We start from the raw sequence: 12,111 nt of genomic DNA, 5'->3' as shown, positions 1-12,111 counted from the left end.
AGCCTCTTCTTTCCTTCTTGTTTGTCTTTCTTCACCCCTTAAGTACAGGACCTTCATTGGTCCCACTGGAAATGACCCTGACCCCAGCCTTGGTTTGTGACTGACTGAAATTCCTGTGGCCTTCTCAAAGCTGAGGTCTTCCATTTGCACTGATTCATGGATACTCATGGCATTGTGAGTCTTTCGCGAATCTGCCAGGATACATCATGTTATCGGGTGCAGGTGTGTGTAAAGATCTGACCCCTGAACACATCTTTTGTGAACTAACAGAGAAACAGATGCTAGTGGATGTGTGTGTGTCATCCACACCTAGGGAGACAACAGGGCTTCCAAACCCCTAGAGCTGATCCCTGGCAGGGCTCAAACTGCAGGGGAGATGCTGTGGGGGTCTGTGGTTACTTTTGTGCTGAAGACCTTCTTCTTCAGTGGTGCCTCTTCATTTGCAATTGTAATTATTTCTCTGGAAACTAGGAACCTAGGTTTTTGTGAAGTGATAAAACTAATTAGCCACAACAAATCCTGTCTGTGCTTAGTTTGCTCAGGACTACACAGTGTATATTAGTTTGCCTTTTGGTAGGAGCCTCTTTGCTGTGGCATGACAGTGCTGCAGTCCCCTGGGGCTGCTTCAACCCCCACCAGAAAGGAAAATGAGAGAAACAATGCATTCGAGGCACAAGCCTGCTACAAATCACCCATTAATTACACACAGAGCTGTGCGCCAGCCAAAGGGCTTTGTCGGGCTTGCACCTTGAAGCCAATAGCAGAATTCTAGGTGCTGCAATTGGGAATAAGGAGCTGTGCTCGACATACATGACCATTGGGCACAGTCTAGGGCAAGGAGGAATAATTCAAGGCCACGCCAAAACCCAGGAGGAAGAACATGGCCACACAACCCATCTGCTTTGACCAGTCTTGCCTTCACGTGAGGTCATTGGAAAGAAACCACCTGCACAGGTGTAAACTCCTGGGTGCTTTTGCCTAAGGCAGTTTCCAGGGGCAAGAGAAATGCAACAAGAATAAAGGTGACTCATAAAATGGATCCTGCCATGTAAATTCGAAGCAGAAAGTGTATTTTAATTAGACTTGGTTGCTGCTTTCACCCGATTTCCAAGTATTAAATTTTCTCTTTCATTTCCTGCGTGAGTAATCCTGGCCCTGATTAATTGAAAACACTAGGTCCTTGCTACTCCCACACATTCCCCATGGAGGGGACTGCGCTTCCGTGACAAATGGTCATGGAATGTGCTCCATTATCATTCCTTGACATAGCAAATAAAGAGGGGAAATCATTTATTCCCAGCATTGGCAAGCAGCCTTCGGGGACTGCACTGGCCAGCTCTGACACCCACTGAATGATGGTGGCGGCACTGATTTGCGTTACCCGCAGACAGAACCCGTGCCCTCTCACTCCATTAGCCAAGTCAGAAACATCAAGCTTTTACGGAATCCATTCCAGCTGAAACAACAGTCTCCTTTATCATTGTAGTAAGTGTTGGGAATTATTTTTCCTCCAGAAAATTAATATCTTCAATGAGCCAAGTGGATAATTCAGAATTTTTTTTGATGCCAAAGTGGTTACATTTTTACCCTGAAGAGAGAGAGTGGAAGTGGGGACCCTGTTGGTTTCTTGGGGAACTAGAAACGAGGCTCTCCCAGTGTGTGCCAACATGCTTGGCACTTTCGGGATGCTATGGGTCAGGCACCAGGTAATGCTGCTAGACGACTTTTACTTCCAAAAAATGTCTGTCCTTGAAGTTCAATCTCATAAAAATGAGCCAATTATTTGTGTCTTTTCTTAAGCTTTTTTTAAAAATAAAAATGACTATATCTTGAAGGTCGATTTTCCAAGTTTATATAGTTCTCTTTGTTGCTTGACATTAAAGTGAATCCTATAATTACTTTCTTCTGATCTTATTCAAATGGTCAGAGTTGGGGTGAGATGTACACAGGCTGCTGTGGTTATGTGATTAGTTCTGTGCGACCACCTTCTGGGCAGGCTCCTGAAGTGGTGGTTACCTGATTACTCCACTTAGTGCTGGACAAATAGGTCAAAATGTTAGCTTTTGGCCTCTTTCATGTAATTTAGAATGCAAAAACATCTCTATGGGGTTGTAAATATTTTTTTTTACTTCATTTATTGTTAAATAAAATGATAGGCTATTTTCTTCTTCATTGGGAGCAAATGTTTAAAATGTCTTTTTGCTTCTGTTTTTCCACATAATGCAGATAAACACACCCAGGGACAGAGGATAGCTGCTCAGGAATTTCTGGGTAAGGTGAATCCTACTGAACAAGAAAAGCTCTCCAAAGAAGTGGCCGGCTGTGAGTGATGGTGTAGATGCACTGGCTTTGCGAGGGGAATGGGGGAGTGACTTGGGTGCTGACAGCAGCCATCACACAAGGTTTCCTGAAGATTGACAGTCAGCGCTGACATTGTCATCTTTGCAAGCCCCAAGATTAGATCTGCTAAGTCAGTGTCTGCAAGATCTGCCTTGATGAGGCTTGTACTGAGTATTTGTTGTGTGGGGCCTCCTGGCCTCCAAGTCCCTCTCTGCCGCGATATGACATCTTCCTTACGAGGAATCATTTGGTCGCCCTTGAGGACCATTTTGGTGGGGCTATTAATCAGGGTGCACAGCCCTCCCCTGGCCAATGAGCAGGCTTCGAGTAGAAGCTCAGCCAATCAGATTCCTCTGCAGAAATGTTGGACTACTCCGGTGCTTGTCCGTTTTTGATCCTGGATTTTCAGCTTTCATTTTTGGGAGCTCCGCCATGTTCTTCCAGTAGATTTTTATTTTCCTACCTAAATTGGCCAGAGTTAGTTTCTATTCTTTATAACTTTTTAATTCTGACTGAATTAGTGTCTTTCATTTCTATGATTACTGAGACTTCTTTGTACTGTGACCATAAAGTAATTTGGCTGATTTTAATAGAAACTCCCCAGGAACTTAATATCCAAAATTGTCCTTGATAACACTTCTGTGCATCCAAAGGCCTCAATTTCCCTACTCCATTCTCTTGCCACATAAGACAGTATTTCTTTTACTGTTTAAGTCACATGGGTTGGGTTTTGTGTAATGTGTAGTCCAGAGTTTTCCAGCCAGCATATGATCTTTGTTCACAAAAATTTTTGCATTGAATTTGGGAAGTACCATGATTGTCTACAAGCATTTTTTTTGACTCTTCCTCAGGGAGATAAATATGCATCTTTTGAGAGGGGATAATATTGGGAAGTATTCAAAATGTGTTCAAAGAGCATTCAAACTGGATAATACAATGTTTAATCTAACAGATAAATCAACTCTAAAATAACGTTTTGGTTTCTTCGTGAGGTTAAAAAGCAGGTCTGGAAGCTATGTTAAAAGAAGAGGTCCAAGAATATTATGCACAAAGGCCATATCGCTGGAAAAAAGTGCACAGATTTACAAGGTGGCATTCTTGAAAGACAACATTCATTTGTTATCTACTCTTATATATATTTGTTAAAAACTAAACACATTAATAGACTCTGTATATACACCCTTTATTATATGTCATGTTCCTTCATTTATGCAAAAACCTAAGTTATTATGAGGCCTTTGAGACTATAACTGATATTTATGTCAACAGTCCATATCAGGTCATTTGAAGGTCATGTCTCATAGATATATAGCATGGCTAGAAATTTTGGATCCTCATGCACCAGTATTTATTTATTTATTTATCACTCTGAATGACTTTATTTTTATTTTTGCTTATTTATTTATATTTATTGTACTTTAAGTTCTAGGGTACATGTGCACAATGTGCAGGTTTGTTACATATGTATATATGTGCCATGTTGGTGTAGTGCACCCATTAACTTGTTATTTACATTAGGTATATCTCCTAATGCTATCCCTCCCCCCTCCCCCCACCCCACAACAGGCCCCAGTGTGTGATGTTCCCCTTCCTGTGTCCATGTGTTCTCATTGTTCAATTCCCACCTATGAGTGAGAACATGTGGTGTTTGGTTTTTTGTCCTTGCGATAGTTTGCTGAGAATGATGGTTTCCAACTTCATCCATGTCCCTACAAAGGACATGAACTCATCCTTTTTTATGGCTGCATAGAATTCCATGGTGTATATGTGCCACATTTTCTTAATCCAGTCTATCATTGATGGACATTTGGGTTGGTTCCAAGTCTTTGCTATTGTGAATAGTACTGCAATAAACATAACGTGCCTTATGCACCAATTTTAATTCCTAGTGGAATAGTAATGGAAGGCATTAGGCTTTGAATAGGTGTTTGGTGACAGAGCAGAAATTCTAACTTTATTAGGTGACTTTGGCAACCCTTAAAGCCTCATTTCTCTCATCTATAAAATAAGATAGTAATTTTAGTCAGAGAACTGGGTACAAAACGTATAGAAAGCATTGGAAGGGTGGCTTTCCCCTGGTAGGCACTCAATAAATATCAGTTCTTATTACAGATAACCCAGCTCCTTACAAGGCAGAGGATGTCTGGGAAGTGTCTGTCCTTACAGAGAGAGCAGAATGGACAGTTGGCAGGGCCACCACATTCACTCTGTCACCAACTCCCATTACCATTTGTGTTCATTATAAGGAGGCCAAAGGTCATCAATTACTTCAACAATGGATATTTCTTATAATTTCAGAGAATTGAATGCAGTTGTTTGTGATGTTCTTTGCAGTCATGGATGCCTCAGAATCTGAGAACTCTTGTATTGGGATCCCTCATGAATTCCTGGGCTCCTTTGAAAGCTAATGAATCAGAATTTTGCATAGTGGGACTGAGGAGTCTGTATTTATTAAACTTTCCTCATTATTCTTCTGCATAGTAAGGTTCATGGACTACCAGGTTAAGAACCTGTGTTTGTAAGATGCAGGCAACCACATCAGCTAAGAGCATTTAGTTCAGCACAGAGACTTTTGTGTCTTAGGTCTTGCACCCAAATGTTTTACTAGAGAATTTACTAGATCCTTGACCTTGCCCTGTGTGCTTCACATGTGTTATTTCAGTGAAATTCCATAAACACCTCTGTGGGATACTGTAGATATCTCTCTTGTACTAACAAGGAGACATGGACTCAGAAAGGTCCATGGGAAAGCAGCCTGCTCCAAAGCTAAATGGTGCTACATTATGTGGCCTCTGTGCTGATTCACTATAACACAGTTTCTTAGTGTTCTGATGAGCTTCAGAATGTTCCAAACCAACAGTGAAGATGGTCTTGCTTAGTCTGAGGCTTTTGGAGGCGGCAGAGGAGGAGAGACAGTAAACTTTTGGGTGTTAGGTCTTGCACCCAAATGTTTTGCCCTTAACTTACACAGACAGTATCATATGATGTTAAGAACACAGACTTCCTGGGTTCAAATCCAGGGTCTGCCACCTACGAGCTGTATGACCATGGGTAAGTTACGGAAATTTGCAGGACTCATTTCCCCATATGTAAAATGATACTAATAGTACCTATCCCATAGGGTTGTTATGATAATTTAATGAATTAATACCTATCAAGTGTTAAAAACAGTATTTGGTATGCAATATGGCAGTGTTTGTCAAAGAAATAAAATAAATTCCACTAAGTCTCAATAACTCCAGCTGCAACTGGAGAGTATGATCCAGAAACATGATTGGCTTTTCCTCCAGACTCCTAATCGAGGAGGCAACTCCTGCTTAGATCCTGGTTGGTGCAACACTAGTTGGCCATCTATAGCGTTCCTTCTACCCCGGGCATGGAGCCCCCAGTATCCCAGGCTGATGTGAGCACACAGAGGCTAATGTCAGGAGTGGAGGCACACTTCCTCAGTGCATCTGGCTGTAATACTGCACTTCTGATTCTGAGTAGCTTTTGGCAAGCTCCTGAGGCAGTGTGGAGGGCAGATATTGTCAGCTGCTCACAGATGGTGCGCTGGGCCCTGCAGAGATGATGTGAGGGGAGGGAACTTTGTCCTCGGGCTAAAAAGCCACTGAAATCCTCAATAGGGTAGAGACCCATATGTATAAGCTCAAGTACACATATATGTGCAGCAGCTGAGTGCCGTTGGTGTTCCATGGGTGCTGGGGTGGGGGCTCCCGTCACACCTCTCACAGCAACCACATTGCCATTTCCACATGCAGTCTATGAACCTGCTTTGGATGTATCAGAGGGAGAGAGCCTGGCCTTTCTTGGATTTTGTCTTGGGATTGTTCCAGTCACTGTTTTAAAGTGACTGGATCTTTTACTTCTTTCTTGATCCCCTTTCTCACTATTTACAGCACAAATGTCCGTTGAAACTTAAGCTGATTTCATGTTATAGAAAAGGTTTTGCATTATTTTTGTCTCCTATGTATGGAGACACTAAGGATTGGGACTTTCTTCATGCATTCATTCACTCTTTCAGGTAGAAACACATTTGAACCATCATTATTTGTTCTTTCGTTGACCCTCTGCTGTCTTGTCTCGGGTGCCATGGAGAGAGTCTGGACTCAGTTCTTGCCCTCAAAGAGATGGCCTAGTGTGGGGGGAACCAGCATGAGTGACTAGTGACAGCATTCACGACTGAACATGATGATGGCCATTAGAGGGCAGATGATGGACCAAGATGGTACAAAGGGAGGAGAGATCTGAGTGATCTCCTTGGAAGAGGTGCCGCTAGAGCTAGGCCTGGAAGGGTGAGCTATATTTGTACAGGGGAGGCAAGACGCTGTCTAGAAAGTTGTGAAGATGAAGAAAATAACATGTGAGAAAGGGCTTTGTGAATATCAAGGCGATATCTACATTTTCATTATTATTTCCATCATAAGTATCATTTCAGGAGGAGGCTACAGCTTGGACCAAGGCCCTGAAGCTGGGGAAGAGGAGCTCAGGGATGGGAGCAGTGAGCACAGATTGGCTGAGCACAGGCACGGGAAAGTCATGGGAAGAGGATGTGGACAGGGTGGGTCTGTGGGGCTGGGCCCCAAGGGCCAGGTGGAGGCACCTGGACTTGGTCCTGCAGCTGGCAGGAGGCCAGGAAAGTTTTCTGAACAGGCATGGCCTATGCTAAACTGTGCTTCTGGAAAATGAGTTTGGTGGCCTGGGCAGGATGAGGCTGGAGGCTGGAAGAACTGTGGAGAATGTGGGGCAAGTGTCCAGGGGGGAGAGAGTGACAGCCTGGACTTAACAGCAACCAATGTTAGAGAGACCTCCTGGAAGGGAAGGTGACAGGAGCTGGTAACTGGTTATAGGCGCTGTTCTTGGTTCTGGAGGATTCATGAACAGGCCTGGATCCATGGATTCAGCACTCTCTGGAGCAGGGGGAGCCGTCAAACATTAAGTGTTTGCACTTTCCTACATGTGGGATTCCTCTCTCCCCATCCCCTGCACAGCAGTCTTCTCACTGATTTTTGAATATGCCCAGCTCATTCCACCCCAGAACAGTTGGCTGCACTTTTTCTTCTTTCTTCTGCCCTGCTTTCCCTTCCCTTCCCTTCCCTTTGTTTCCCTTCCCTTCCCTTCCCTCCCCTCCCCTCCCCTTCCCTTCCCAGTCTCACTCTTTCATCCAGGCTGAAATGCAGTGATGCAATCATAATTCACTGCAGCTTCAGCCTCTGGGCTTAAGCAGTCCTGATGCCTCAGCCTCTCCAGTAGCTGGGACTACAGTCACGCACCACCACATACAGCTAATTTTTTAATTTGTTATTTTTTTGTAGACATAGGAACTGGCTATGCTGCCCAGGCTGGTCTTGATATCCTGGGCCCAGGCGATTCTCCAATCTTGGCACTCTCAAAGTGCTAGGATTCCAGGCCTGAGCCATGGCACCCGGCCTCTCTCTAGCTTTCATGGCTGGCTCCTCATCCTTCAGGTCTCCCCTCCAGAATGGCCAGTTCAGAGGGAGGTTCCTGGTCACCCCATCCAAATTCACATCCCCCGTCCACTGTGCTACCCTATTCCTCATTAACCTGTTCAATTTTCTTCAGAGCTTTTATTACTATGTAAAATATATTTTTTTGTTGACCTTATTTCCATCTTCTCCTAGCTTTTGAACTCCATGTGAGGCTGGGCACAGTGGCTCACACCTGTAATCCTAGCACTTTGGGAGGCCAAGGCAGGAGGATAGGTTGAGCCCAGAAGTTTGCGACCAGCCTGGGAAACATGGTGAGACTCCATCTCTACAAAAAATAAAAACAAAAATTAGCCATTAGCTGGGCATGGTGGCATGGGCCTGTAGTCCCAGCTACTTGGGAGGCTGAGGCAGGAGAATCACCTGAGCCTGGAAAGTTGAGGCTGCAATAAGCCACAATCTAACCTGTCTCAAAAAAAAAAAAAAAGCAACACAAAAGACAAAAACTCCACGAGTGGTTCCCCATGGCACATATAATAGTACTTGACAGAATTCAGTATATATTGTCTAAAATAATGAAGACATGCTCATATTTCCTTTACGGGATTTTCAACAGCAAAATTAACAATCCTAGACACTGGTTCAGGAGGATGACTATCACTTCTAAGCAAAAGCCACCCCCCAGGCTTTTTCTTTTTTCTTTTTTTTTTTTGTGAGACAAAGTTTTGCTCTTGTTGCCCAGGCTGGATTGTAATGGCACGGTCTCGGCTCATTGCAACCTCCACATCCCAGATTCAAGTGATTGTCCTGCCTCAGCCTCCCAAGTAGCTGGGATTACAGGCATGTGCCAACATGCCTGGCTAATTTTTGTATTTTTAGTGTAGATGGGGTTTCACCATGTTGGTCAGGCTGCTCTAGAACTCCTGACCTCGAGTGCTCCACCCACCTCGGCCTCCTAAAGTGCTGGGATTGTAGTTATGAGCCACCACGCCCAGCTACAGAAGCCCTTTATTTAAACATATATATATATATTTTATTCTAGATTCAGGAATATATGTGCTTGTTTGTTACATGTCTATATTATATAATGGTAGGAATTGGGCTTCTAGTGAACTGATCACCCAAATAGTGAACATTGTACCTAATAGGTAATTTTTCAACCCTCCCTCCCCAACTTTTGGGTCCCCCGTGTCTATTGTTTTTGTCTTTATGTCTATGTGTGCCCATTGTTTAGCTCCCACTAAGTGGGGAGCTCTGTTTAGTTCTGTGAGACCACGCAGTATTTGGTTTTCTGTTTCTGAGTTAGTTCACTAAGGATAATGGCCTCCAGCTCCACCTAGCTTGCTGCAAAAGATAGGATTTTATAATTTTTTATGACTATGTAGTATTCCATGGTGTATATTTACCACATTTTGTTTATTCAGCCAATCATTGCAGGGCACTCGGGTTGGTTTCATGACTTTGCTATTGTGAATAGTGCTGCAAAAAAACATACAAGTGCAGGTGTCTTTTTATAAAATGATTTCTTTTCTGAGTAGATAACTAGCAGCAAGATTGAGCAACAGTGCTTAACCACGAGTCTTTTATGAACATCAGCAAAGAGGCCCACGTTGTGGTGACTGCGGCAGGGGCCTGAACCTTGCTTCAAGCTGCACCCTCTCACAATTGCCACAGAGTCCTCACTGGTTCCATATACAGCCCCTAAGTGCAGTTTGGGGTGTTGACAGCAGCACATGACCTTGATGTCTAGACCCTGACCTGAAGACCCCCTCAGTTTACTTGGGTACACTTCACAACCTGTGCAAAACTGAAGATGTGTCCTTCAGAAGAGTTTCTGGGCACATATCAGTCAGTATAAAGTTGGTGATTGGGTGGACTTTCATCAGCAGGGAGGCCTGGGATTGGCCATATTCATTGCCACATTGGTTGGTAAGAGTAAGCATGGAAGACTCAGTTTAAGATTGCAAAGAACAGAGGGTTATTAGGGGAGAAAGACATCCCTCTAATGGTTGGAGAAGTATTCCTTGAATACTTCTTTTTTCCCTTGAAAAGAGGGGCTATGCTATTAATTACAAATTCACGGTGAGTGTAACATCTGGATGTGTATAGTGGCAGGGCCATGCCATTGTGTGTCTATATAGATATCTGTGCTGAGCTTTAGAAACAAGTCTTGGGGAATGCTGGTGAGAAGGTGAGGCTGAGTGAGGGAGAGAGAGAGGAGTTGCAGATGACTCACCAAGGGGTATGTTCTAAAATCTCAAAGGAAAGCTGTGTGCTGCTGTGTCCCTACTCCCAGGGGGAGGATTATCTCATGTCCCTGCAGTCTCCCAATGCACAATCCTGTCTAAGAATGCCCTTCACATTGTGGACTCTATGGCTACCAGTCACATCTACAAAAGAACTCTTGCATCTATCCATTTCATATGATGGCGAGGAGTGTCTATGTGAGATTTTAATTCTCTTTTGTATAAAATAATGAAAACTACATCACAGTAATATTGAGAAAACTAAGTAAAAAATGAGTACAGAAAGTGCTCAAATACGGTACAGGGAAAGCGCTCAATCAATATTTCCTCCTATTAATGTTTCATTGGGGAAGAAAACTCACTGCTAGAGAAAAAGAGCTTAAAACTCAAAGAATGAGCTAATTTTCCAGCGGTATGATTCTGTGATGTTAAAGTACAACATATGTCAGTAAAAAAATTTCAGTCTATTCAAAAACAGATTTTCATGTTTGGGTCCTGGAATCAATTTGTGAAACAACTCTATTGAGATGACACATCAGATGTATCCCTCCCTCTGTACTGCACCAGGCTAGCTTCCACCTCGTATTTCCTTTTCTTTCCTTTTTTTTCTTTTTTCTTTTTGGCAGAGTCTCACTCTGTCACCCAGGCTGGAGTGCAGTTGGTGTGATCATAGCTCAGTGCAGCTTCAGCCTCCAGGGCTCACGTGATCCTCCTGCCTCAGCCTCCTGAGTAGCTGGGACTGCAGGTGTGCAACACCATGCCCAACTAATTTGTCTACTAAAAATTATTTTTAGCAGAGACAGCATTTAGCTATGCTGCCCAGGCTGGTCTCAAACTCCTGGCCTAAAACTATCTTTCTGTCTTGATCTCCCAATCCTGTGCCTTGGATTCCAGGCTTGAGCCACCACATCCTACCTCTACCTTCTGTTTCAATCCAGGGATAGACCCATTATCTTGAGTCTGAAAGGACTTACCTTAGGCTGAGTTTTCCCTTAGAAACAACCCTGAGACAAAGATTTTAGAACAAGTGTTTATTCAGGAGATGAACCCAGAAAGCGCAGTTGAGAAGGGTGAAGAGGCAGAGGGAGGAGAGAGAAGACACTGCTTATTAAAGAGCCAATCACTGCTGTGGACAGCGGGGCTCAGGCAGAACTCCAGAGGACCCTGTGGAGCCCAGGCCACAGAGCTGTGCCTCCTGAGGGAAGGAGTCTGCTGCGCTCAACCTTCAGTCCTTCCCATCATTGGCTGAAGGTCGTTCTTAAGGCATCAGCTCCTCAGCGCTTCCTGCCCGCCCTGAGTGAGAACCCTGATGTTTCTTAGGAAGCTCTCCAGGGACAGTCTCAGGCCCTCACAGCAGGAAGCCATCAGCACACATTGAACACTTAAGGGAAACAGGCAGGGCACGAAGACAGCCTCTGGAGAACTCAGCATTTTCTGTGGTTCAGGTTGCATCCTGTGGATCAGGAGCCATATTCACAAGTCTGTTTCATCAGCACAGGATCTGAAATGGAATGTCCAAAGGCCATGTTGGAACAGCGATGTCAGCAGCAGGAAAGATTAAGAATGACCTGGACCGCCATCCCTCTGATAAAGCACCTCCTGTGAGCCTAACCCTACATAATAAGGAAGAAAGAGCTTGGGGCTCTCTCATTAGACCCTTTGAGTTGTGCATACATCCTGTGCCAACCACACATCCAGGTCGGTAGAAACCCCAATTGGCCAGGTCTAAGTGTCGTGTTCAAGTCTGAAATTACTGGCAGGATCACCCTCTGCCTTCACTTTTACCCAGAAAACTGAGAGTAGAGAGGCATAATTTCCCCCCCAAAAAAACTGAGGTATGGCTGCTAGGAGAGGGAAAATTGAGGCTTAGGAGGCAAAAGCTATTGATACCCACTTATCTGGTAGATGCATATGTGCCATCATTTTTATTTTATGTCTTTTTTTATAATTTCAGCTTTTATTTTAGATTTGAGGGTATAGGTGCAGGTTTGTTACATGGGTAATTTGCCTGATGCTGAGGTTTGGGGTACAAATGATCCCATCACTCAGGTAGTGAACATCATACCCAATAGGTAGTT

At 43.9% G+C, this 12,111-nt stretch overlaps 2 annotated features.

The window, feature by feature from the left end:
• Positions 553–1,752: an enhancer, noted in NCBI's record as "CDK7 strongly-dependent group 2 enhancer chr19:28804274-28805473 (GRCh37/hg19 assembly coordinates)". NCBI's record gives its function as "activates an origin of replication core promoter dependent on BRD2, BRD4, P300/CBP, MED14 and CDK7 cofactors, with strong dependence on CDK7, by STARR-seq in HCT116 cells {active_cell/tissue: HCT116}" and the evidence as "EXISTENCE:reporter gene assay evidence [ECO:0000049][PMID:35650434]".
• Positions 11,152–11,688: an enhancer, noted in NCBI's record as "OCT4-NANOG hESC enhancer chr19:28794338-28794874 (GRCh37/hg19 assembly coordinates)". NCBI's record gives its function as "activates a minimal SCP1, AML or CMV promoter by ChIP-STARR-seq in naive and primed H9 embryonic stem cells {active_cell/tissue: H9 hESC(naive and primed)}" and the evidence as "EXISTENCE:reporter gene assay evidence [ECO:0000049][PMID:30033119]".

Source organism: Homo sapiens, chromosome 19 (genome assembly GCF_000001405.40).
Source record: "Homo sapiens chromosome 19, GRCh38.p14 Primary Assembly".
Classification (NCBI taxonomy): Eukaryota; Metazoa; Chordata; class Mammalia; order Primates; family Hominidae; genus Homo; species Homo sapiens.
The sequence above is the reverse complement of the archived record's forward strand: the minus strand, read 5'-3'. Positions and strand labels throughout refer to the sequence as shown.